The following is a 22,909-nucleotide window of genomic DNA, read 5'->3' as shown; positions in this document are numbered from 1 at the left end:
AGTTTTATTATTATTCCATACCAGAAATTGCTTACTGACCTAGGATTGGTATATATTCAATATTTTAATGTATCTGATGGTTAGGCTGTCACTACATAAAATATACTTTTGATCTTGTGCTGTGTAGTCTTTAACTCCCATTTATTTATAGGTCAATGTCATAAGAGATAAGAGGCATTATTAATGCTGCACGAGAGAGACTAAAGAATTCTTGTTCTGTTCTGTACAGGCTCTTGTGGAACAATGAGAAATCAGAGAAAGAACAAGAGGTCATCTGCAGCCAAACCTGGTCAGAAGGATTATAGAACATTTTATCTTTCTTTTGTTCCCTCAATCCTATTGTCATCATTCAATTAGAAGTATTATTTTGAATAGCTTTAATAGAAAATAAATGGACTTAATTTTTTCTGATTTATTGTGCCCTGCATTTCAAAATAAATATTAGTCACTGAGCTAAGATATATCAGACAACATCTGGGATACTGTGTTATCAATCAAATAAATTTTAAAGTGAAAATGCTGATATCATAGGCTGGATGCAGCCTCTTACCTAGTGAGGATCTGTTAGACAAATAGTGCTTTGTTACTGCTAAAGCTAAACAAATGTAAAAAGAAAGCAGAAATGGGTTCCCTTGCTCAGCTTAAGCTATGACAGACACTATCTATTCCTGTTACTGCTAATCCTATAATACTTAAGAATTCTTACCTTTAAAAAATTGCTTTTTATAAATATAAAAATGATGGCATGCTATCAACATCATCTATGTAGTCACCTTCTTCATACTTAGTAATACAAACCTATTAGTTAGAATGACCCTGCAACACAAGAAAAAAGAATATATTCCCCAAAATGAAAAGGAAACCAGAGTAACAGATAATGAGTGTTGGCTGTTTAAATACAAGCTCAAATATTTGCCAGAACATGGGGAAATCATGTCAACAAGATTTACAATTACTGTCACATTTCCAAATCAAAAGATTGATAAAAATTAGGGATTGAATTTTCCTGTTTTACCTGAAGAAATTCAGTTGTATACTTTTTAAATGTTAGCATATATCTAACTAATACAAAATTAGTTTCTTTTCATTGATATTTTGAACAAAATAATTTTAAATTTGTAATTTAGATACCTAGTCTGATTTTAAAAAATAATATTTCAAACCATTTAAAATGCTTAGCTACAAGTAGATAACAGTTGTTTTAAATCAGTTTTGAAAATCAAATTCCAAATTCAGTGTGAGTTTACCATTTTTTTATTCAAGAAATTTAAACACTGTCTTGACATTATGTCACACATTTAATTCAAACTAGGATTCCTTTCAATTGAAAAACAATTTTAATCGATTGAAGGCTTAATTTAAAGAATGACTCATTTACTGAATTATTTGAATTTTACACACAGATTGAAAGAGTTCACATTAAGTAAGCAATATACCATTTAACAGAGTTTTCTTTCTTGACTGGGGTTTACTATTGTCAAAAGTATTACAAATGTGAGCATCTTCTGTATGAAGCATATGACACAGGGCTTGCTCTCTGGTGAAACCGTGGTGGGAACAACTGCCATACAGGCAGTCACGGGAATGCCACCAGAGAAAACAGGTGACCCAGACCAAATATCTCCAAGAGCTGGAACATGGACATGTCTCCACTTAAAATGGCTTTGAGGTGTTGTTTCAGTCTGAGTCATAACATTGTCCATACTCCCAGTTTTTTTCCATGAAAGGAAAATGGAGGTTTTTTTTTTTTTGGAATAACTTGCATAATACCCTTTAGAATGTGCTATGGAGCATAAAAATACAAAGTTCATGTTTGAAAAGAAGTACATCGACAAGAGATCAAGTCATGTCTTATGATAACTAGCTTTGTGATATTTGCATAAGACATCATTTCTTTCAATTTCACTTTGTTCAGAGGATTATTCCATTAATCCTCTCAAGACCTTATACAGGTCTTGAGAGGATTAATGGAATAATAAACATAAAGTGATTGGCAGAAGACCCTTAGAAAAAGACAGCAGTTAGTTGTTATTATTTTATTTTACTTTACAAAGTAGTAGTGATATTAGATGTAGCTGATGAAAATAGCAATAAAATGCCTATATAAAATACATATATGAACAAGCTAAATGTTAGACCATTCATTCTCAATCATTTCAAACCAACTTCTCACATATTGTAATGAATTGTTATCATGCAATGATAAACAGAGAAACTGTAACCCAACTTCATAGGCAGCTACAAAAAGAAATAATTCCCTAACTGTATTAGGAAACATAAAAGCAAATTTAAGTTAAAAAATAATATGTCCTTTAATAATCATACCTTTGGGAGAAGACACAAACCTTTGCATCATATTAAACAGACAATTGCCACTGATAGTGGTAGGTGAATATCAAGAGTGGCATTGCCTTTGCTGATATAAGTTTGGGGGAATACTGAACAGTTTTTTATCATATGCCTCCACAAAAAATTATTTTCTGTATTTATACAGTTTTAATATTATTAGAAAACTATAGGCATGCAAAATGTGGTTCCAAAAACATTTTATTTATGTACAAAAGATTAGTTCTAGGTTTTATCATATATAAATACATATCAGATCATTCAAAATATGTACATGACAAAGATCTATTTTTCCACAGTGCAGAATATCTAACAGTCCTCATACATATACGTTAAATACCATCCACATGTGACAACAAAATGCTCATACAAATTTCCAGATGCCTCATTGAATGGCATTTTCCTTACTATGATACTCCTTTTTGCATAACACTTCCTATGATAACTGAGCAAAGAAGTCATCTTTTTTGTTGTTCCAGCTTTGTCAAAGAAGGATATTAAAATTAAGTGGCATTTAAAAAATTATCATACCTTGGGATTCAGATTTTGCAATGCCTTTCTTCTTTTTCCCCTTCCTTTCTTCTCTCCTTTCATATTTTCTTCTTTCTTTCAACCAATACTTATTAAACATTTATCATATTAAGAAGAACTCGATTTAGGCACTGATGATAGAATAGTGAACAAAAAAACAAATCGTCCTGTAGTCATAAAGTTATGAGATGGAGAGGCTAGAAATGAATAGAAGTAACTACAACAAAGTATGTGTGTGTGTGTGTGTGTGTGTGTGTGTGTGTGTTAAATTGAAGGTGAGATAATTTGTACATCTAGATAGAAGTATGAGATCTGATGGTTAAGTGTAGATTAGAAAAAAAGGAAGAGACAAAAAGCAGAATGAAGTGAGAGAGGCTCACAAGGTTGATGACTATTTTACATAGGAAAGTTACTAATGACATCTCTCAGGAAGTACCATTTGAAAAATACTGATGTGACACTGTGATAAGATCTGAGGGAAATGTTTCTCTGGTGAAAAAATCCAAGAGTAAAGTTCCTAGGTAAGGCAGAACTGGCTTAGCATTCTTATGGAGTGAAAAGTAGCAAGCCTATCTAACATGAAGTGTGTGATAATGGGAAGGTAAATGAGAGATTAATTTGGAAAGGTCTTGAGAAGACAGTTTGTACAGGGCATTGTAGGAGTTTAAACCTCATTGTAAGAGAGATGAGAAACTGTAAGAAGGTTTGATATTTGAAAGCATAACTCCAGATAAGGAATTGAGTAGAACTCTGAAATGGGAGATTGTATTGTTGAGGCTGCATGAAGGTAGAACAGACGGTATTCGATGGTGTATTGGTGAGGTAGAAAGAGTAAAATCAAACATTATCATGTTTGAGAATGAACATCTAGGTGAATAATGGTACAATTTACTGCAATGCAAAAGACACAGGGAGTAGGTTGTGACAGGGACATGGTAGAGTTGAAACAAGATGTTTGGAGATATTATGCTTGAATTTCCCATTCAATATCCAAGTGAAAAATCAAGCAGGAAGTAAAACTAAGTAAAATATATAAATTTTGAGCTTAGGCATGAGTCATTACTAGAGAAATAAATTGATTTCTCATCAGTAGCTTATGTGGATCTTTGGGAAATAAAATGGAATCTAATAAAGGACTTTAACTACAGAAATTACAAATATTTTCAAAAAATATTAAACCATAAAATGACTAAAATATTTTAATTGGGCAAGATCAAATAAATTGTTTGTGATTGTTAACTAACAGTTATCACTACTTAAACAGTATTAAAATATTTTCTGTCACTGACACATAATAATTTCCATGAAATTAACAGAAAAAAATGCAAAAAGGAGGTTAATTGGTTTTCTCTAATGTTAAGAGTAATAAACAAAGCTTTTATGTTATCCTGTGATTTCTCACAAAGGAGACATGCATGGTTTTGTAATTATAAAATATATTATTTGTGAAATAGTGTATCATAAAGATTAATCTGCTGGCAATGTGTAGAATAAATTAATATCAACTAGGGGCACGTTGAGACATAAAAGGTAGACCATCAGTTGGAAAGCTACTGCATCACTGAATCTTTTAATAAGGTGATTAAAACCTCCCTGGTTAGCAGAAAGTTTATGTGTGTGTGTGTCAGGCAAATTTAAAGAAATGATATCTTGGATGAGATCATCATGAAGTCTTGGATGCTTAACGTTTAATAAATATAACACTGTCCCTTGATGTTCTGTTTTGTGTTACTTATTAGCAAAACTAAAACTCAAATTAAACACATCACCTATTCCACACATGCAAATTTATGAACACAAATGACTAGAAAAAAACACATAATTGTGTCTATCAGTTACAATTTAATTCGGGAAAACAATGTTCAAAATGATTCAGAGATCCTTTTCAGAGAAGTAAATACTGAGATAATTTGTTACCAACAGAGCTTCTGAAGAAAGCGCTAAATATGGAAAGGAAAGACGATTACCAGCCACCACAAAAATACACTGAAATACACAAACTAGTAACGTTATAAAGCAATGACATAAACAAGTCTGCAATATAACTAGCTAACATCATGATGAGAAGATTAAATCTACACACATCAATACTAACCTTACATGTAAATGAGTTAAATGCCCCAGTAAAAATATCACAGCATGGCAAGCTGGGTAAAGAACCAAAACCCATTGGTATGCTGTCTTCAAGGGCCCCATCTCACTTGCAATGACACACATAGGCTCAAAATAAAGTGATGGAGGAAAATCTACCATGTGAATGAAAAGCAGAAAAAAGCAAAGGTTGCAACCCTAGTTTCTGACATAACAGTTTTTAAACTAACAAAGATGAAATAAGACCAAAAAAAGGGGCATTAAAGAAGTCAATTCAACCAGAAGAGCTGACTATCCTAAATATATATGCACTCAACACAGGAGCAACCAGATTCATAAAACAAGTTTTTAGAGACCTTCAAAGAGACAGACTCCCACACAATGATAGTGGAAGACTTTAACCCACAGACAATATTAGACTGATCATCAACACAGAAAATTAACAAAGATATTCAGGACCTGTATTCAGTACTGGATCAAATGAACCTGATAGATACCTGCAGAACTCTTCACCCCAAAACAATAGAATACACATTCTTTTCATTGCCATATGGCACTCTAAAATCAATCAGATAAATAGAAGTAAAACACTCCTGAGCAAATGCAAAATAACTGAAATAACAGTCTCCCAAACCTCAGCATAATCAAATTAGAACTCAAGACTAAGAAATTAACTCAAAACCATGTAATTACATGGAAATTGAATAACCTGCTTCTGAATGACTTTTGGGGAAATAATGAAACTAAGGTAGAAATCAAGAAGTTTTTTGAAACTAATGAGGACAAAGATATAACGTACCAGAATCCCTGCAACACAGTTAATCCAGGGTTAAGATGGAAATTTATAGCACTAAATGCTCACATCAAAAAGTTAGAAAGATCTCAATTTAACAACCTAACATCACAACTAAAAGAACTAGAGAACCAAGAGCAAACACATTCCAAAGCTAGCAGAAGACAATAAATAACCAAAATCAGAGCTAAACTCAAGGAGATGGATATATGAAAAAACATTCAAAAGGTCAACAAATTCAGGAGCCGTTTTTTTTTTTGAAAAAAAATTAATAAAATAGGTACACCACTATCTAGACTAATAAAGTAGGCAAGAGACAAGACTCATATAAGCACAATCAGAAACCATAAGGGGGATATTACCACAATCCCACAGAAATACAAACAACTATCGAGGATATTATAAACAACTCTATGCACATAAACTAGAAAATCTAGAAGAAATAGATACATAGATACACATACACCCTCCCAAGACTGAACCAGGAAGAAATTCAATACCTGAACAGACCAATAAACAGTGCCGAAGTTGAGGCAGTAATAAATAGCCTACCAATCAGAAAATGACAGGATCAGATGGATTCATGGCTGACTTTTACCAGATGCACAAAGAAGAGCTGGTATAATTCCTTCAGAAAGTAATCCAAAAATGTGAAAAGGAGAAATTCATCCCTAACTCATTCTATGAAGTCATCATCCTGATACTAAAAACTGGCAGAGATACAACAAACAAAACTTCAGGTCAATATCCTTGATGAACATTGATGCAAAAATCCTCAACAAACTACTGGCAAACTGAATCCAGCAGCACATCAAAAAGCTTATCCACCATGATCAAGTAGGCTTCATCTCTAGGAAGCAAAGTTGGTTCAATATTTGCAAATCAATAAATGTGATTCATCACATAAACAAAACTAAAAACAAAAGCCACATGATTATCTGAATAGATGCACAAAAGGCTTTTGATAAAATTCAATATCCTTTCATGCTAAAAACTCTCAGTAAACTAGGTATTGAAGGAACATACCTCAAAATATTAAGAGCCATATATGACAAACCCACAGCCAATATCATGCTGAATGGGCAAAAGCTGGAAGCATTCCCCTTGAAAACTGGCACAAGACAAGAATGCCTTCTCTCAACAATCCTATTCAACATAGTATTGGAAGTTGTGGCCAGGGCAATCAGGCAAAAGAAAAACAGAGGCATTCAAATAGGAAGAGAAGAAGCCAAACTATCCCTAGTTGCAGATGACATAAACCTATATCAAGAAAACCCCATTGTCTCAGCCAAAAAACTTCTTAAGCTGATAAGCAACTTCAGCAATATCTTAGGATAAAAAAATCAATGTGCAAAAGTCGCTAGCATTCCTATACACCAAGAATAGTCAAGCCAAGAGTCAAATCACAAATAAACTCTCATTCAAATTTCCACAGAAAGAAACAAAATACCTAGGAATACAGCTAACCAGGAAGGTGAAAGATCTCTACAAGAAGAGCTACAAACCGCTCCTCAAAGAAATCAGAAATGACACAAACAAATGGAAAAACATTGCATACTCATGAAAAAAAAAAGAATCAATATCAACAAAATGGCTGTAGAGCCCAAAGCAATTCAAAGATTCAATACTATTCCCATTAAGCTATCATTGACATTCTTCACATAAGTAGAAAAACTATTTTATAATTCATATGGAATCAAGAAAGAGTCCATATAGCCAAGGCAATCCTAAGCAAAAATAATAAAGCTGGAGGCATCACATTACCTGACTTCAAACTACACTACAAGGCTACAGTAACCAAAACAGTATGGTACAAGTACAAGAACAGACACATAGACCAATGGAACAGAATAGAGAACTCAGAAATAAGACCACACACCTACAACCATCTGATCTTTAACAAACCTCACAAAAACAAGCAATTGGAAAATGATTCCCTATTTAATAAATGGTGCTGGGATAACTGTTTTACCACATGCAGAAGATGGAAACTGAACCACTTCCTTACACTATATACAAAAATTAACTCAATATGGATTAAAGACTTAAATGGGAAACCCAAAACTATAAAAACCCTGGAAGATAACCTAGGCAATTCCATTCAGAACATAGCTATGAGCAAAGAGTTTATGACAAAGATGCCAAAAGCAATTTCAACAAAAGTAAAAATGGACAATTGTGATATAATTAAACTAAAAAGATTCTGCACAGCAAAAGAAACTATCAAATTAGTAAACAGATAATCTACAGATGAGAGAATTTTTCACAAAATAGGCATCCAACAAATGTCTAATATCCAGCATCTACGAGGAACTTAGACAAACAAGTAAAAAACAAACAACTCCATTAAAATGTGGGCAAATATGAGAAACTTAGACAAACAAGTGAAAAACAAACAACTCCATTAAAATGTGGGCAAAGGAAATAAACAGGCACTTCTCAAAAGAAGACCATGGAAAACTATGCAGCCATTAAGAAAAATCAATTTTTGTTTGTTTGTTTGTTTTGTTTTGTTTGTTGGCAGGGACATAGGGACGTGGATGGATATGGAGGTCATTATCCTTGGCAAGTAACACAGGAACAGAAAATCAAATATGGTATTTTCCCACTTATAAGTGAAAGGTAAATGGTGAGAACACATGGATGCATAGAGGGGTACAATACACACCGGGTCCTTTTGATGGGTGGAGAGTGGGAAGAGAAAGAGCATCAGGAAAAACAATGAATAAGTACTAGGCCTAATACCTGGGTGATTAACTAATCTGTACAACAAAATCCCATGACACACATTTACCTACATAAGAAACCTGTACTTGTACCCTTGAACTTAAAAGTTTTTTAAAAAGTATATACATATTCTCACAAGCACATTTTTCTTACTTGCCAGTATTTGCAAATACTGACTGTATTCTTGATGTTGCTATAGATGTAATACTATCATGATTCTGCCTAAATTCAATACTTTGTTTTCTTTGAGTTTACCTTCTCTTCTTTCATCTTTTGACTACTTATGTACATGGCCCGGGAATACTTTTGGCTCTCCCCCACATAAAAAAATGATTTTTCATCGTCATAAAAACATAGTTATTTTCCTATCTTACAATTTTTTAAACACATTTTTTTCTTGAATCACTATATACCAAAGCTGTTTCCATTTTTTTTGCAAATCTCTTAAGAAATACTTTAGGCTAACCACCTTCAAATTCTCACTTTCCATTCTCTCTTAAATCCAGTTCAACCAAGATTTCCCTCCTAGAGTTCCACATAAATACTACAATAATTTCTATGCTGTCAAATTAAGTGTCAAAATGTTCCCTTCTCAATATAATTTATTTATTAGTAGCCTTTGACAAAGCTTAACATGCTCAATCTTGACGCACTACTTCTTTTGGGTACTAAACACCACTCTCTCCTCATTTTTTTTCTACTTCACTAGTAGTCCTTCTCAGTCACCTTGACTGGTTGCTCTTCTTTTCCTATTCTCTTTTTATTTTTTTTCTCATGTCCTACGTTCAATACCTTAAAACTATATTCAGAGCGTTACTAGTTCTCAATACTTCCACTGATATGAATATGAATATGAATATGAATCTGACCTCTTGCCCCTACTCTCCACACACCACAAAGAATGCCTAATGTATACAGGTTTTTTTGCTTTTTTCCTTTGACCATCATCCCTCCCTCCTCCTTTTGTTTTTTCACCACAGAACACCCAGAGAGGCTGATTTAAAATGTAAGTCAGTCCTTGTGCAATGACTTATTGTTGTATTTAACATATAAGCAGAAATCTTTAGTGGGGCACAAAAAACCCACAGGAACTGATTCTTCATATTACTTCTCTGACCTCCTCTGCAACTCCTCTCTCTCTCTCTCTCTGCCCTTCCAGGCCCTATGACCTCCTTGCTCTTGGGCTAATATTTCAGGAATGCTTCTAGCTTCACATATTGGTGATTTTTACTCATTTTTCTTGGAATGTTACACACTAGATAACAAATACCCACCCTCCTTACCTGCTCCAGACCTTTACTGAAATTTCATTTTCTCCGGGATGCCCTGATTTACCCATTTAAAATAACAACTACACCTTTCCTGGGAACTCACGAACTCCCTCGTTGTACTCTGCTTTCAAAAGAAGCGAAACCTCCATTATTTATGATGTTCTAATATTGTATTGTCAATCCTCATTATTTGCAGATTCCATATTTGCTAATTCTACTAGCTGGGATTCCAGGTGCCTGCCACCATGCCCGGCTAATTTTTGTATTTGTAGTAGAGACGGGGTTTCATCATATTGGTCAGGCTGGTCTCAAACTCCTGACCTCATGATCCGCCCGCCTCAGCCTCCCAAAGTGCTGGGATTACAGGTGTGAGCCACCATGCCTGGCCTATATATGTTTATTCTAAGAAAAGAATAGATTTGTTACACCTCCACCTCACGAAGGCAGCAGTAAAGAACACTTAATTTCATGAAAAAAAATCTGCGTTATTTTGTTATGCTCTTATAAATTCAAAACATTTCAAAAGAAAGAGTAACAATAAAATGAAATTATTGCCTTATCACTTGTCTTTCCAAACAAGCTTCAACATATCTAATCAAAATGCTTCTCTTTCTTAGCATTAACAAATAGCTTTCTAAAGTAATCCAATAACTGTTCCGAAACATTAGACATGCTACAAAGAAAACATTTCTATAATATCTTTTTAGAGCATTGGAAAATTAATAAAAATATTCCAGGCTGTTTCAATGACAAGTACATTAATCTCTAAGCAACTATATTGATATTACAAATAGTATATTTTAAAAATATTTTTCATGACATTATAAAATTAATCTTTAAAAGAGCCTTTTTTGTTGCTGTTAAGCAAAGAAGAAATCAACTGTTTTAATAGACTACCTGGACTGACAAACAGCATGCAGGGAAATACCACAGAGTCTCTGCCACAGGAACCTCAAATATATGTCATCAAAGACCACATCCCTGGTCAAAAAATATAATGCAAAACAAAATGTATAATTGATTATTAGCTAGCCACTATTTTCCTCTAAAATTGAAATAGTGTTTAAATATTCCAGCTTATAAACCAGAGTATGGTAACAGAATAAATAAGAGCTTAAAGGATTTGGTCTATGGTACAATGTCCATTAATCAATTATAAACTTTCACATCACTGTTGTAATACAGTGTATCCTAAAATTATATGCTACTGTTTCTCATCCTCTTCTGCTTATTTCTACTAGGAGCTTTGTTATTATTTGCCTTACGGAATTATTGAGCAAATATTTTATGTTAATTTGTGTTGATGCCCTAAGAAATTAAGTCAGAATGTTTTGATTAATTTTTCAGAGTTCTTCTGTTCTATATTAACAGGAAATTATATATTTACACTTTTAAATGAAGGTTAAATGTGATTGCATTTCACAGTGCATTTAAAATGCAATAATTTTTCCAAGTTTCTTTAATAATGAGAAGTGGAATTTCATTAACTATTCACATATAAAAATATAATACGTTTTGAGAGAGATGAGGTAAAAATTTTGTTGCATATTAACTATTGGATTGAATTAGAATCTTAGATTAATTAACCTTCACTTGATCCAAAGCAGAGATTTTATTTTTATTTGGTAAATGTATCTGTTCTTTACATTTATGTTCTAAACAAGACTCATAACTGTCCAAATGGCTGGTAGTTATTTCACAACGACATAGGTTTATGATAGAGTTAGCTACGTGTCTTCGTTAAACACAGTATGTTTACTGATAACATTACTACATACATGAATTATGAAGTACAGATTTAATGCCTCTTGTTTCAATGGCTTCTGTGGGATTTTAAAGTGTGCTTTCTTATAGACAAATTTATAGTAATAATAGTAGAAGAGCTAAAAATTTATATAAATGACAAACTTGGGCAAAAACCCATGTAGAATTTTAATTCTACTCTATCTGTTTCAAGAGAAACATTGTATATTGCTTTTAAGAATTATTGTAGTTCTTGCTTATTTAAAAGATATCATTACTCCTTAGGGCTTGGGGCAAAGATGGCATAAAGTAAATCACTTTATGATGATTCAGACCAAAACGATTTTGCTAACAATAGCCATAAATATGAAAAATAATGGTATAATTTAAGATAAATATTCTAGTCACTGAATGATTTACTCTATTGTGAATCTATCATTTGTCACAAAATTTCATTTAAAAATAGCTAAATGTTTACTTTCTATTTGCAGTCCATTTTTTTATTTTTTAACTTCTCTTCTGCATAACTCATTATTGAAAGAATAAACATTTGAACAAATAGTAAATAATGGCAGGAAAGCCAATGAATGTCTTCCGTGATTTTCTGTTTAAGCTATTATAATGCAGCAAAACAGCTAAAATGATAGATAAGTACATAAAAGGAGAAATAGGTGGATGAATAAATTGATAGAAGGATAAATGGTAAATGGATAGGTATAAACAGATAAATAGATATTTAGAAAGCTATACCTCCCAAATACTTAACTATGTTATTTTATAGACATAAATTTCACTAAATTTTTATGTTTCTGCATGTGAAGTTTTCAGATTTTTGTCTATTAATTACTTTGACAAATGTATATTTGGATATATATATACATATACATAAGATAATGTGATTATACAAGTTATATGTGTACACAAATGCAACTATGGTACCTGTGATAAGAGGATGGAAGGGGTGGATCCACTGTTACTTGCAGAGGTTTGTAAACAAGGTCTCAAGTTGATGCTTGTTCGTGATAACTTTTGAAAATGGATAGAAAGCACTGCCTATACTTAGGGGATTTTTTTTTTCAAATATCACAAACCATTGGGAGTAGGCTATCATGAAAACATTTGTCTGTCACCATAGACCCCAACACATTCTGCAGAGGCAATCTGAACTAAGTCAAGCTTTCCCCTTAGGCATTTCTCTCAAAGATTTACACAACATATTCCTTTTAACTTAACTTGGAAGTTTCCCTTTCCTCTGGAAGACTAAATCTAGTGGCAATGCCAGAAAACTGAAGCAAATAAAATAGCTGCAGTAGAATCCCTAGCTTCAGTGTCAAATCCAGAAAAATGTATTTCTTGAAATGGCAATGTATGTCTGATTTCTATAACCATGTGGAGGTAATTAATAAATGTAATATTATTTTTATGAGTGGACATGGAAATATTTCAGTATTTTAGTAGATAATATACTGGCATTTTAATATGCTGATATAAAATAATATTTTCTCTCTGCCCTGGGAACATTTGTGCATAGTATGCTTCTGTTTTTTGAAAGTTTAACCAATTGCACTTGGGGAAAATATCAATCATTTATTCACTTTTCAAAGTAAATTAATTATATTTCAATTTATCCATATCTGTCATTTTATGAATTTGAATATTTGCTTAGGTTTTCAGTCAAGGCTTAGGCCATAAGCATTTGTGGAGGTTGGTAAGTCTGTTTTTGTGTGTGTGTGTCTGATGCTGGGCTTAGGAGTCCACAGGGCCAGCAGTTAAAAAGAGATGGTGGGTGTAAATTTGTAGCAGTCTGCATTGCTCTAAAGGAAAACCTGAGGCTGCGTAACATATAAAGAAAAGAGACTTATTCGGCTTATGGTTTTTCCGGTTGTACAAGAAGCACGGCACTGTCTTCTGTTTCTGGTGAGGACCTCAGGAAGCTTCCACTCATGATGGAAGGTGAAGAGGAGCTGACATCACATAGTGAGAGCAGAATGAAGCAAGAGACAGAAGGGAGGTGCCAGGGTCTTTTTAATAATCAGTTCTTGCAGGAATAAATAGAGTGAGAACTTATTATAGAGATGACACAAGGCTATTCATGAGGGATCCACCCTGAGGACCCAAACACCTCCCATCAGAACCTACCTCCAATCTTTGTGATCCAATTTCTACATGAGGATTTGAGGAGACACACATCCAAACTATATCATTTCACCCCAAAAGCTTGTATCCTTCTCACATTGCAAAATACAATCACTCTTCCTCAATCGTCCCCAAAAGTCTTATTTCAGCACCAACTCAAAGATCCAAAGTCAAAAGCCTTGAGAGTCAAGGCAAGTTCCTTCCAGCTCTGTGCCTATAAGTTCAAAAACAAGTTATTTACTTCCAACATACAATGGTGGTAGAGGCAGAGGGTAAACATTCCCATTCAAAAGGGAGAAATCAAACAAATAAAAAGGGTAACAGGCCACATGCACAACCTAGCAGGGCAGACATTAAATATAAGCTCCAAAATGATTTTCCTTGACTCCATGTCAGGCATCCTAGGCACACTGGTGTAACAGGTGGGCTCCAAGGCCTCAGGCAATTCTGTCTCCCCAGCTCTGCTGCGTGTAGGCCGTGTGGCTATTCTTAGGGTTTGAGGCAATTGCCTGCAGCTTTTCCAGGCTACAGGTGTGCATGCTGCTCGAGGCTCTAACTTGCTGGGGTCTGGAGGGATGTGGCTCCATTCTCACAACTCTTTTAGGCAGTCTCCCAGTGGGAACTGTTTGTGGAGCCACCAACCCCACATTTCACCTCAGTACTGCCTTAGTAAAGCCTCTCTGCAGAAGCTCTGTCCCTACGGCAGGCTTCTGTCTGGGCACCCATGTTTTTCCGTATATCCTCTGAAACCTTGGAAATGGCCAAGCTTCTACCATTCTTGCATTCTAGGCACCTAAAACTTAATCCCACATGGGAGCTGCCAAGGCTTATGGCGTGTGCCCCCACAAAGTAATTATCCAAGCAGTACCTAGGACCCTTTGAGCTGAGCCTAGATCCAGAGCAGCCTGGTCAGGGGTTTGGTGGGGAGCAGCACTCTGAGTTAGCACAGGCAACCTGGGCTTGCCTCCTCCCCAGACCATTCTATTCTTCTGGGCCTCTGCTCTGTGTTGAGAGGGGCTCCCTTAAACATTTCTGATGTGCCCTCAGGGATTTTTCCCCATTACCTTGACTATTAGCACCTGACTTGCTTTTAGTCATAATGATTTCTCTAGCAAGTTGTTACTTCCCAGTCCCCTTGGATTCCTGTCCTGAAAATGCTTTTTCCTTCTTTACCACATGACCAGGTTTCAAATTTCCCTGATTTATACACTCTGTTTTCTTTTTAGTTACAAGATCCAACTTTATATCATTCCTTTGCTCCCATGTCTGGTCATAGATTGTTAGAAGTAGCCAGGCCACATTTTGTATGCTTTAGCATTTAGAAATTTCTTCCACCAGATAACCTAAATCATCATTCTTAAGTTTGGCCTTTCACAAAGCCTTAGGACATGTACACAAAGCAGCCACGTTCTTTGCTGGGGCAGAACAAGAATGACTTCTTTTTTTCAGTTCCCTGTACATTTCTCATTTCCATTTGAGACCTCATCAGCGTGGCTTTTACTATCTATATATCTATCAGCATTTTGGTCACAACCACTTAACCAGCCTCAAAAAATTCCAAACTTTCCCTTGTCTTCCTATCTTCTTCTGAGCCTTCTGAATTCTTCCAACTTCTGTCCATTACTTAATTCCAAATGTCTTTATACATTTTCTGGTATCTATCTGATATTTTTAGGAAATACATTTTTCTGGATTTGACACTGATGCTAGGGATAGCAATGCCCCATTCATCAGTACCAATTTGTTATTTTAGCCTATTTGTGTTGCTATAAATAAAACACTGAGGGTAGGTAATTTATAAAGAAAAGAACTTTGTTTTGTTACCAGTGCTGCAGATCGTACGAGAAGCATGGTGTCAGCATCTGATTCTGGTGAGGGCTTCAGAAAGCTCCCCACTCATGGTGGAAGGCAAAGGGGAGCAGGGTTCACATAGCAAGAGAAGAAGAAAGTGAGACAGAGAGAAAGGAGGTACCAGAGTTTTTTAAATAATCAGCTCTCCCAGGAACTAACAGGCTAAGAACTCACTCCTTACAGTGAGGATGGCACTTCCTTCCTCAAAATCTCCCAAAACGATATTTATTGTGGAATACAGTCTCTGAAAACATACATATTAGTTAGTTTCCCCACTGAAAGGAAGAAAACCAGCAAATAACACACCACTTCACTAGCGTAAATGGAAGACAGGACCAAAATACTAAGTGATGTAGAACTGCAGTAGAGAGAGTTTCTACAAAAAAAAAAAAAAAAAAAAAAAAACGCAGAATTTTATTTAAAATATAAATTATATCTTATTGCTATAAAAATAAAGTTTATTTCAACCTCTACAAAAGAACAATTCAGAATCAAATCTTAGAGTTTCTTGCCCAGTTTTCTGCCCTAACCACCTCCCTTACCTTCTCTCCTTTACTTCACTCATTCCACTCCACTTCTGTTATGCATGCCTATTTGCTATTCCTGTAGCCACTCTTGTAGTGAGCAATGTGTGCTGGTCCTTCTGACAGGAACATTCTTACATCAGAAATCTCCACATTTATTCTTTGTGTCCTTGGGGTCTTTTTTAAGAAGACCCTACCTTCTTAAGGGCCTTCTTAAGAAGGCCCTACTATCACCTCCAACTTCCATTTGTAACACAAATTTTTTCATAACATTAATATCCATGTAATGTACTATATATTTTACTTATTTATCTTGTCTAGAGTCTGCCTCCACTCACTGAAGAGTGTGCTCAATGAGAATAATGTGTTTGCCTGTTTTTATTCACTGATCTATTCTAACCTTTATGAGAGTATAAAAGCACCCGTGACATGGTATGTAGGATATATATAGCTATAGATATAGATTGCTGGATGGATGTATGGCTTGACTGTATATAAAACAGTATACGTAACAGAATTAATGAATACCAGAAATATTTTTAAAAATTTACTTTGATAAATACTTTTCAATGCAAACAGGAATTGCTAATGCGTTGATGAAAATAGGAATTGTGAATGCATAGCTCTAGTCACTTTGCTTTATTGCTGTGAATAAGGTAGCTAAAACAAACTGACTTGATTTGCCTGTATACTTAGAGTTATAAGGTTAGTCATGTGTGCATGTGCATATGTGTACGCATAGTGAAATTTAGTGTCTCAAATAATTAAATATAATTAAGGTCCATGTAATAGGACATTTAAAATAATTTTCTGTTATTAGACAGTGCATAAATGTAAACTTGCACTTTCTTCATTACAATTTTCTTTTTTAAAAAAAGTAGAGACAGGATGATCCTCTGTTGCTCAGGCTCACTTCAGCCTCAAACTCCCGGGCTCAAACAATTCTCCCATTTCAGCCTCCTGAGTAGCTGGGACCACAGGCATGCACCACCACACCTGGCTAATTTTTTCACTTTTGTAGAAACAGGGTCTCACCACCTTTCCCAGGCTGGTCTTGAACTCCTGTGCTCAAGCGATCATCCCACCTTGGCTTCTCAAAGTGCTAGGATTACAGTCATGAGTCATTGTGCCTGGCCTATTTTCTTATTTAATTAATGTTAAATTTTTACTGTGAATAATATAAACATTTGTTGATGCCACAATTTATGCCTACCTTAAAATGAAGGCTTTTGTACACAGCAGTGAAGCATTTTAAAACCAATACAATATAATTTACTCTGTTTAATTATATGTTATGCAGAATTTAACTATTTGATATTTAGCATAATAGCTTAAAAACCAGATCAACCTTGTTTAGCCTTGTATTTTCTAATTTCCTATCTATTTGGTTGATGCAAAGGTAATTGTGGTTTTTGCAATTACTTTTAATGTCAAGAACCACAGTTACTTTTCACCAACCTATAATAAATTACTATAAAATACACACCGGTCTACCTTATTGTAAACATTTTGCTGAAAATGTGTATGTGCACATGCATGTAAAGTCCAGGATAAACTGGCATCTGTACTGTACTGGTTCCTTAAGTACATATTTTACCACCTATAAATTGCATTATTTATTTTTGAACTAATTCTCCAAAATATAGTGTCTGATTCTTCAGGTACAATCTGAAGAATTATTTTATCTTTGAACTAATTGCAATATTTATCTTTGAATAATTCTCCAAAATATAGTGTCTGATTCTTCAGATGCAATCATGACTGTAATATGGGAAAATATTCTTAAAGAAATAATATGCATTTGTCTATCTACCTACCTATTAAGAATATGAAACAGTTTGATTAATGTATATGTTACTTTTTTCTTTCCAAAATTGGATACAGGGAATTAAACTGTGTTCATAAGTATGCCTAAATTTGCATTCACCCATGATTATTTTTAGTGAGGGATAGAAGAAATCCTGTTTAATTTACATAAATAATAGAAGTGGCAAGTGGAGCAGATGTGTGATCTTATCCTTTTGCTTGTACAGTATTCCATTAAAATTTTATTGTTTTAAACAATAACTTTACTTTTATCCTCAACCTATCTTTTCTCATTTTATCGTTAAGAAAAAAAATACCTAACCAACAACACTGGGAAGAAAAAGTTGTGAACTGAATATGTATTAGGGCATCTTTCTATATTTCCCACAGAGACATATACAATGAAGACAAAATTAATTGTGAACTATTAAAGTATTGTTCTACAACTATTAATGTCTACAGATTTGTTGTTCTTTTGTTCTTAGTAGCAAATCATTAATGTGTTCTCTTAGAAACAGGAGTGCCAGGGCTATAATAAAGCTTGAATAATGTTAAGTTCTTGGAATGAGTTAAGACTTGAATAAGTTAAGTCCAATAAAAAATGAATAGAAATCAACTTCAAAAGAAAGAAAAATATTTTTAAAAATAAATGAGAGGAATGCAGTTTTATTCCTATAAGCCAATGTAACCTATTAGTATGAAAGAAGGAAACAGTGTCAAAGATAAATAGTATGGGATCAAATGGAACTTGAAAGTAAATTGATTCAGGACTGTAGTCTTCTCCTTTAAGAAGAAAAGTTTGTATGGGGAAAGAAAGATAGGGAGCAACAATTTTCCAATAACATAGATACTAATTACCGTTGTTCTTAAAAAATATTTTTCCCAAAATATATATAGATATTCACTTATGTATACATGCATGCTGCAACTATGTGTTGAGTGCTAACTTTACGATAGGCACTGGGTTATATGTTGGGAATAATAAAAAAGTATAAAACATGCCCCCTGCTTCTGCACAGGGTAGTAGAGAGGCTAAGACAGAACCACGTGAATTAAGTAGGGGAGAACCCTTTATGTGTGGGAAATAACCTTGTGCAGGGCATAGAGAGGAAAAGAGGGCATAAGGCAAGGAGAAATTAATTTAGTTTCCCCTGGGGTTAGGTTTCAACGATAAGGTGAAAAATTGTTCTGAATCTTAAAAGATTACCCAATGATCAAGAAGTTGAGGATTTAGGATGCAACATGAAAAGTGTAGAATTTTTTTTTTTTTTTTTTTGACAGAGTTTTGCTGTGTCGTTCAGGCTGGAGTGCAGTGGCAAGATCTCGGCTCACTGCAACCTCCACCTCCCAGGTTCAAGCGATTCTCCTGCCTCAGCCTCCTGAGTAGCTGCGATTACACGCGCCTGCCACTACGCTAGCTAATTTTTGTATTTTTAGTAGAGACGGGGTTTTGCCATGTTGGCCAGGCTGGTCTCCGACTTCTGACCTCAGGTGATATCAGTGTATGTTCTGATACATATTTATTATCAGTGTGTATTCTGATAGCTATAGCATAAGGTATTGAAAATAACTCAGATTTATACGGAGGAGATGTCAAACATTAAGAGTTTAGGATTTCAAGCAGGGTATCAAAACTTTCTGTAAAGTTCCAGATATTTAAGCTTTGTAGACCACATGGTCCCTATCATAGCTACTCAACTCTGCCATTATAGACCAAAGCAGCTACATACAATTATAAATGAATGGGCATGGCTGGTTCCAGGAAAACTTTGCAAAAACTGCTGGAAGCCAGATTTGGCCCATGCACCATAGTTTACTAGTTCCTGATTTAGAACGTGAAGAAGCTATGAAAAAAAATTTAATTACATTTTGGAGTACATATCAGATTTTTAAGCATTTTGCTGGGGTTTGAGATTCTAGTGAAGTAATCACCAAAATAGTGGATATAGTACTCAATAGGAAGTTTTTCAACTCTTACTCGTCTCTCTCCATTTTCCCTTTGGAGTCCCCTAGTGTCTATAGTTTCTGTCCTCATGCACATGTGTACCCATTGTTTAGATCCCATTTATAAGTAATAACATGCAGTATATAATTATCTGTTTCTGTATTAATTCACTTAAGATAATAATCTCAAGGTCCATCCATATTGGCACAGAGGACCTGATTTCATTATTTTTCATGGCTGTGTAGTATTCAATTGTGTATAAATAACACGTTTTCTTAATCCAATGCACAATTGATGGATGCTTAGGTTGATTCCATGACTTCACTATTGTGAATAGTGCTGTGGTAAACATATGAGTCTTTTTGATATAACGATTTCCTCTGGGCAGAAACCCAGTAGTGGGATTGCTGGGTCAAATGGTAAATCAATTTTTAGTTCTTTGACAAAGACCCATAATATTTTCCATGGGCAAAAGATATGAACAGACATTTCTCAAAAGAAGACATACAAGCAGCCAACGAACATATGAAAAAAGTGCTCAACAGCACTAATCATCAGAGAAATGCAAATTAAAACCACAATTAAATACCATCTCATATCAGTCAGCACAGTTACTATTAAAAAGTCAAAAAATAGCAGATGTTGGAAAGGCAGTGGAGAAAAGGAAATGCTTAAACACTGTTAGGGGTGTAAATTAGCTCAACGCCCATGAAAAAGTTTCAAGCATGGATGTAGTATAATCATGCCTATGTTGGAAGAAAATTACTCTGGAACAGGTATAAAAGGTTTGTGAGTGATGTGGGAATGCAGGCATGCAGAATACTTAGAAGATAATAACTCAGGACTAAATACCTGTCTGAATAATATAGGAGTACTGGATACAGGCAGACTAGATATGGGAAGTATAAAGAAGATAAGATCTATAGAATTTAATGACGGATGGAGATTGAAGTTAGGAGAATAATTAAAATAGGAAGGCGCTAGTTTTATGACTCGAATGATTTGGAGGATAGTACTCTTCAGAGGGAAAAGTGTTAGAGAAGAAAGAATATTTTGTGGACCTGATTTGCATTCATACTGGGAGAAGTATCAGGGTAAAAATGATGATTATATTTAATTTTTATCTTTACGTTTGATGGACCTTTCTGATGGTCATTTGTGACTTGAAGAGAGATTCTTGGCTAGAAATTACTCCTTAAGTACAGCTGTATGCCCCTTTATCTGCAGGGAATGTGTTCTAAGATCTGGTTGGATGCCTGAAACCACAGAAAGTACCAAACTTTATAATTACCAAGTTTCTCCTATACTTACATACCTATGATAAGTTTAATATACAAATTAGGCACAATAAGAGATTAGCAACAATTACTACTAATAAAGTAGAGCACTTGTAACAATACACTGTCACAAAAGTTACGTGCATCTGGTCTCTCTAAAAATATCTTATTGTACTGTAATTACTGATTTTCTGACCTCGGTTGACCACACATAATTGAAACCATGGTGGTAACACCATGCATAATGGGGGACTACTGCAGTGATGAGCTTGTAGGTGGTATTTGGTGATATTTAAGGTCATTTTCAAATGAGCTGAAAAATTTAAGAGCTGAAAGAGAAGAAGTCCAAGGACAGAATCATGGACAAAACTACTCTGAGGGACCACAAGGGAGGCACAGCAAGACAGACATAGGAAGAAAATTGACAGTCAAGATGTACTTATGCAATACAGAATAAATCATTAGTATATAGAATAACTATCATATAAATAGAATGCTATTAGGTTATGGCGAGTAACTATTTATTAAACATAACATCAAGGCACTCTAAGAAATGAATCCTAAAATCCAGAAATAAAGAATGGCTTTGTTTGTAGCAATTTTTTAAACAATCGATTTAGATATTTTGTTTTTTTTTGTTCGATCAAATATTTTTAGTGACTAAATTACTTTTAGAATATTGGTTTAAATGCACTGAAAATATGCATGTTCATTATAAAAAAGTTTTAAGTCATGCATAATAAAAGATGACAGAAGCATCATAATTAGAAATCATATTATTAAATAACCATACATATTTTTTAACATGAGCATTGACTCAATAATCTTGTTGACTTTCTGGGAAAGCAAAGAAATAGAATAAAGTACAGCAGAAAATTAATGAAGATGGAAGACAAAAAGAAATGTAGCAACAAACCATCTCACCAGCACTCCCACAAAAATAAGAGAACATGCCCATTCAGCTTAACTCCCTTAGTATAATTCTATTCCTTCAACGAGTAAACTTAACATATTCCAGGAACCACCAATGACTATAACATTTTTATACATATTTTTTTCATTTTTGTGTTCTCTTTCAAATCACTATTAATTATATTATTTCATATATTTTCTATGACTAAACTTTGAAATATGTACTTCTTTATGAAAAAAATATTGACAATTTCAATTATACCGTGTAATGTTCTTGTTTCAAATACAAGTATATCCTTCTTCAATCACCTATAGAGAATTATAGAGTACCAATCTCTGTCAGACAGCATATTTTTTCATTATCCAATTATCAATTCTATCTAAATCTCACTTGAGAGATAATTAGAAATATATTTCGAAGTCATCTGTGTTTATTACTAACATTTTGACTAACAGCTATATAAAATATATGAGCTTTAATCAAAGAATGACAATTAATGATGTTTTAGCACATGACATAACTGAATATTATTTATGCATCTATGGTAACTTTTTATGAATAATCTCCATTATAGTGGCATTTCTTAAGTAAGCTCCATTATTAAAGTTTTACTTTTAGATTCAGCACCGTCTTAGTTGTTGCTTTTGAAATTTAATAAAATGATCTTAAAATCAAAGGGCATAACAGCTGTGCTAGAATACAGAACAACTGGCGAGAATATTTAAAAACTTACTGTGTATGAATTGAGAGAATAAATCATAAAGCCTCTGAAAACAAGTTGACATGGAAACTGCATAGGAAAAGGTATGCAGATCAAAAGAACAAAATAAACTACACAAAAATATGAATAGAACTTAAAATGTGTGAAAATATTGCATTATGAAGTTGGTATTATCTCAGTGAGAAGTAGATTAGTTATTTAACCAATAGTGAAATTCTCAACACGAACATTAGT

The 22,909-nt window shown here is 34.1% G+C and overlaps 1 long non-coding RNA gene across 1 annotated transcript in view; it reads left to right on the top strand.

Annotated features, from left to right (window-relative positions):
• The first annotated feature begins 230 nt into the window (after positions 1-230).
• Positions 231-22,909, top strand: part of LINC00613 (long intergenic non-protein coding RNA 613) — a 46,698-nt gene continuing 24,019 nt past the window's right edge. The window contains exon 1 of the long non-coding RNA NR_103763.1: positions 231-289. This is a non-coding gene — a long non-coding RNA (long intergenic non-protein coding RNA 613). The remainder of the gene's footprint in view (positions 290-22,909) is intronic.

Source organism: Homo sapiens, chromosome 4 (assembly GCF_000001405.40).
Source record: "Homo sapiens chromosome 4, GRCh38.p14 Primary Assembly".
NCBI classification, from domain to species: Eukaryota; Metazoa; Chordata; class Mammalia; order Primates; family Hominidae; genus Homo; species Homo sapiens.
This window is presented reverse-complemented; position numbering and strand designations above follow the sequence as displayed.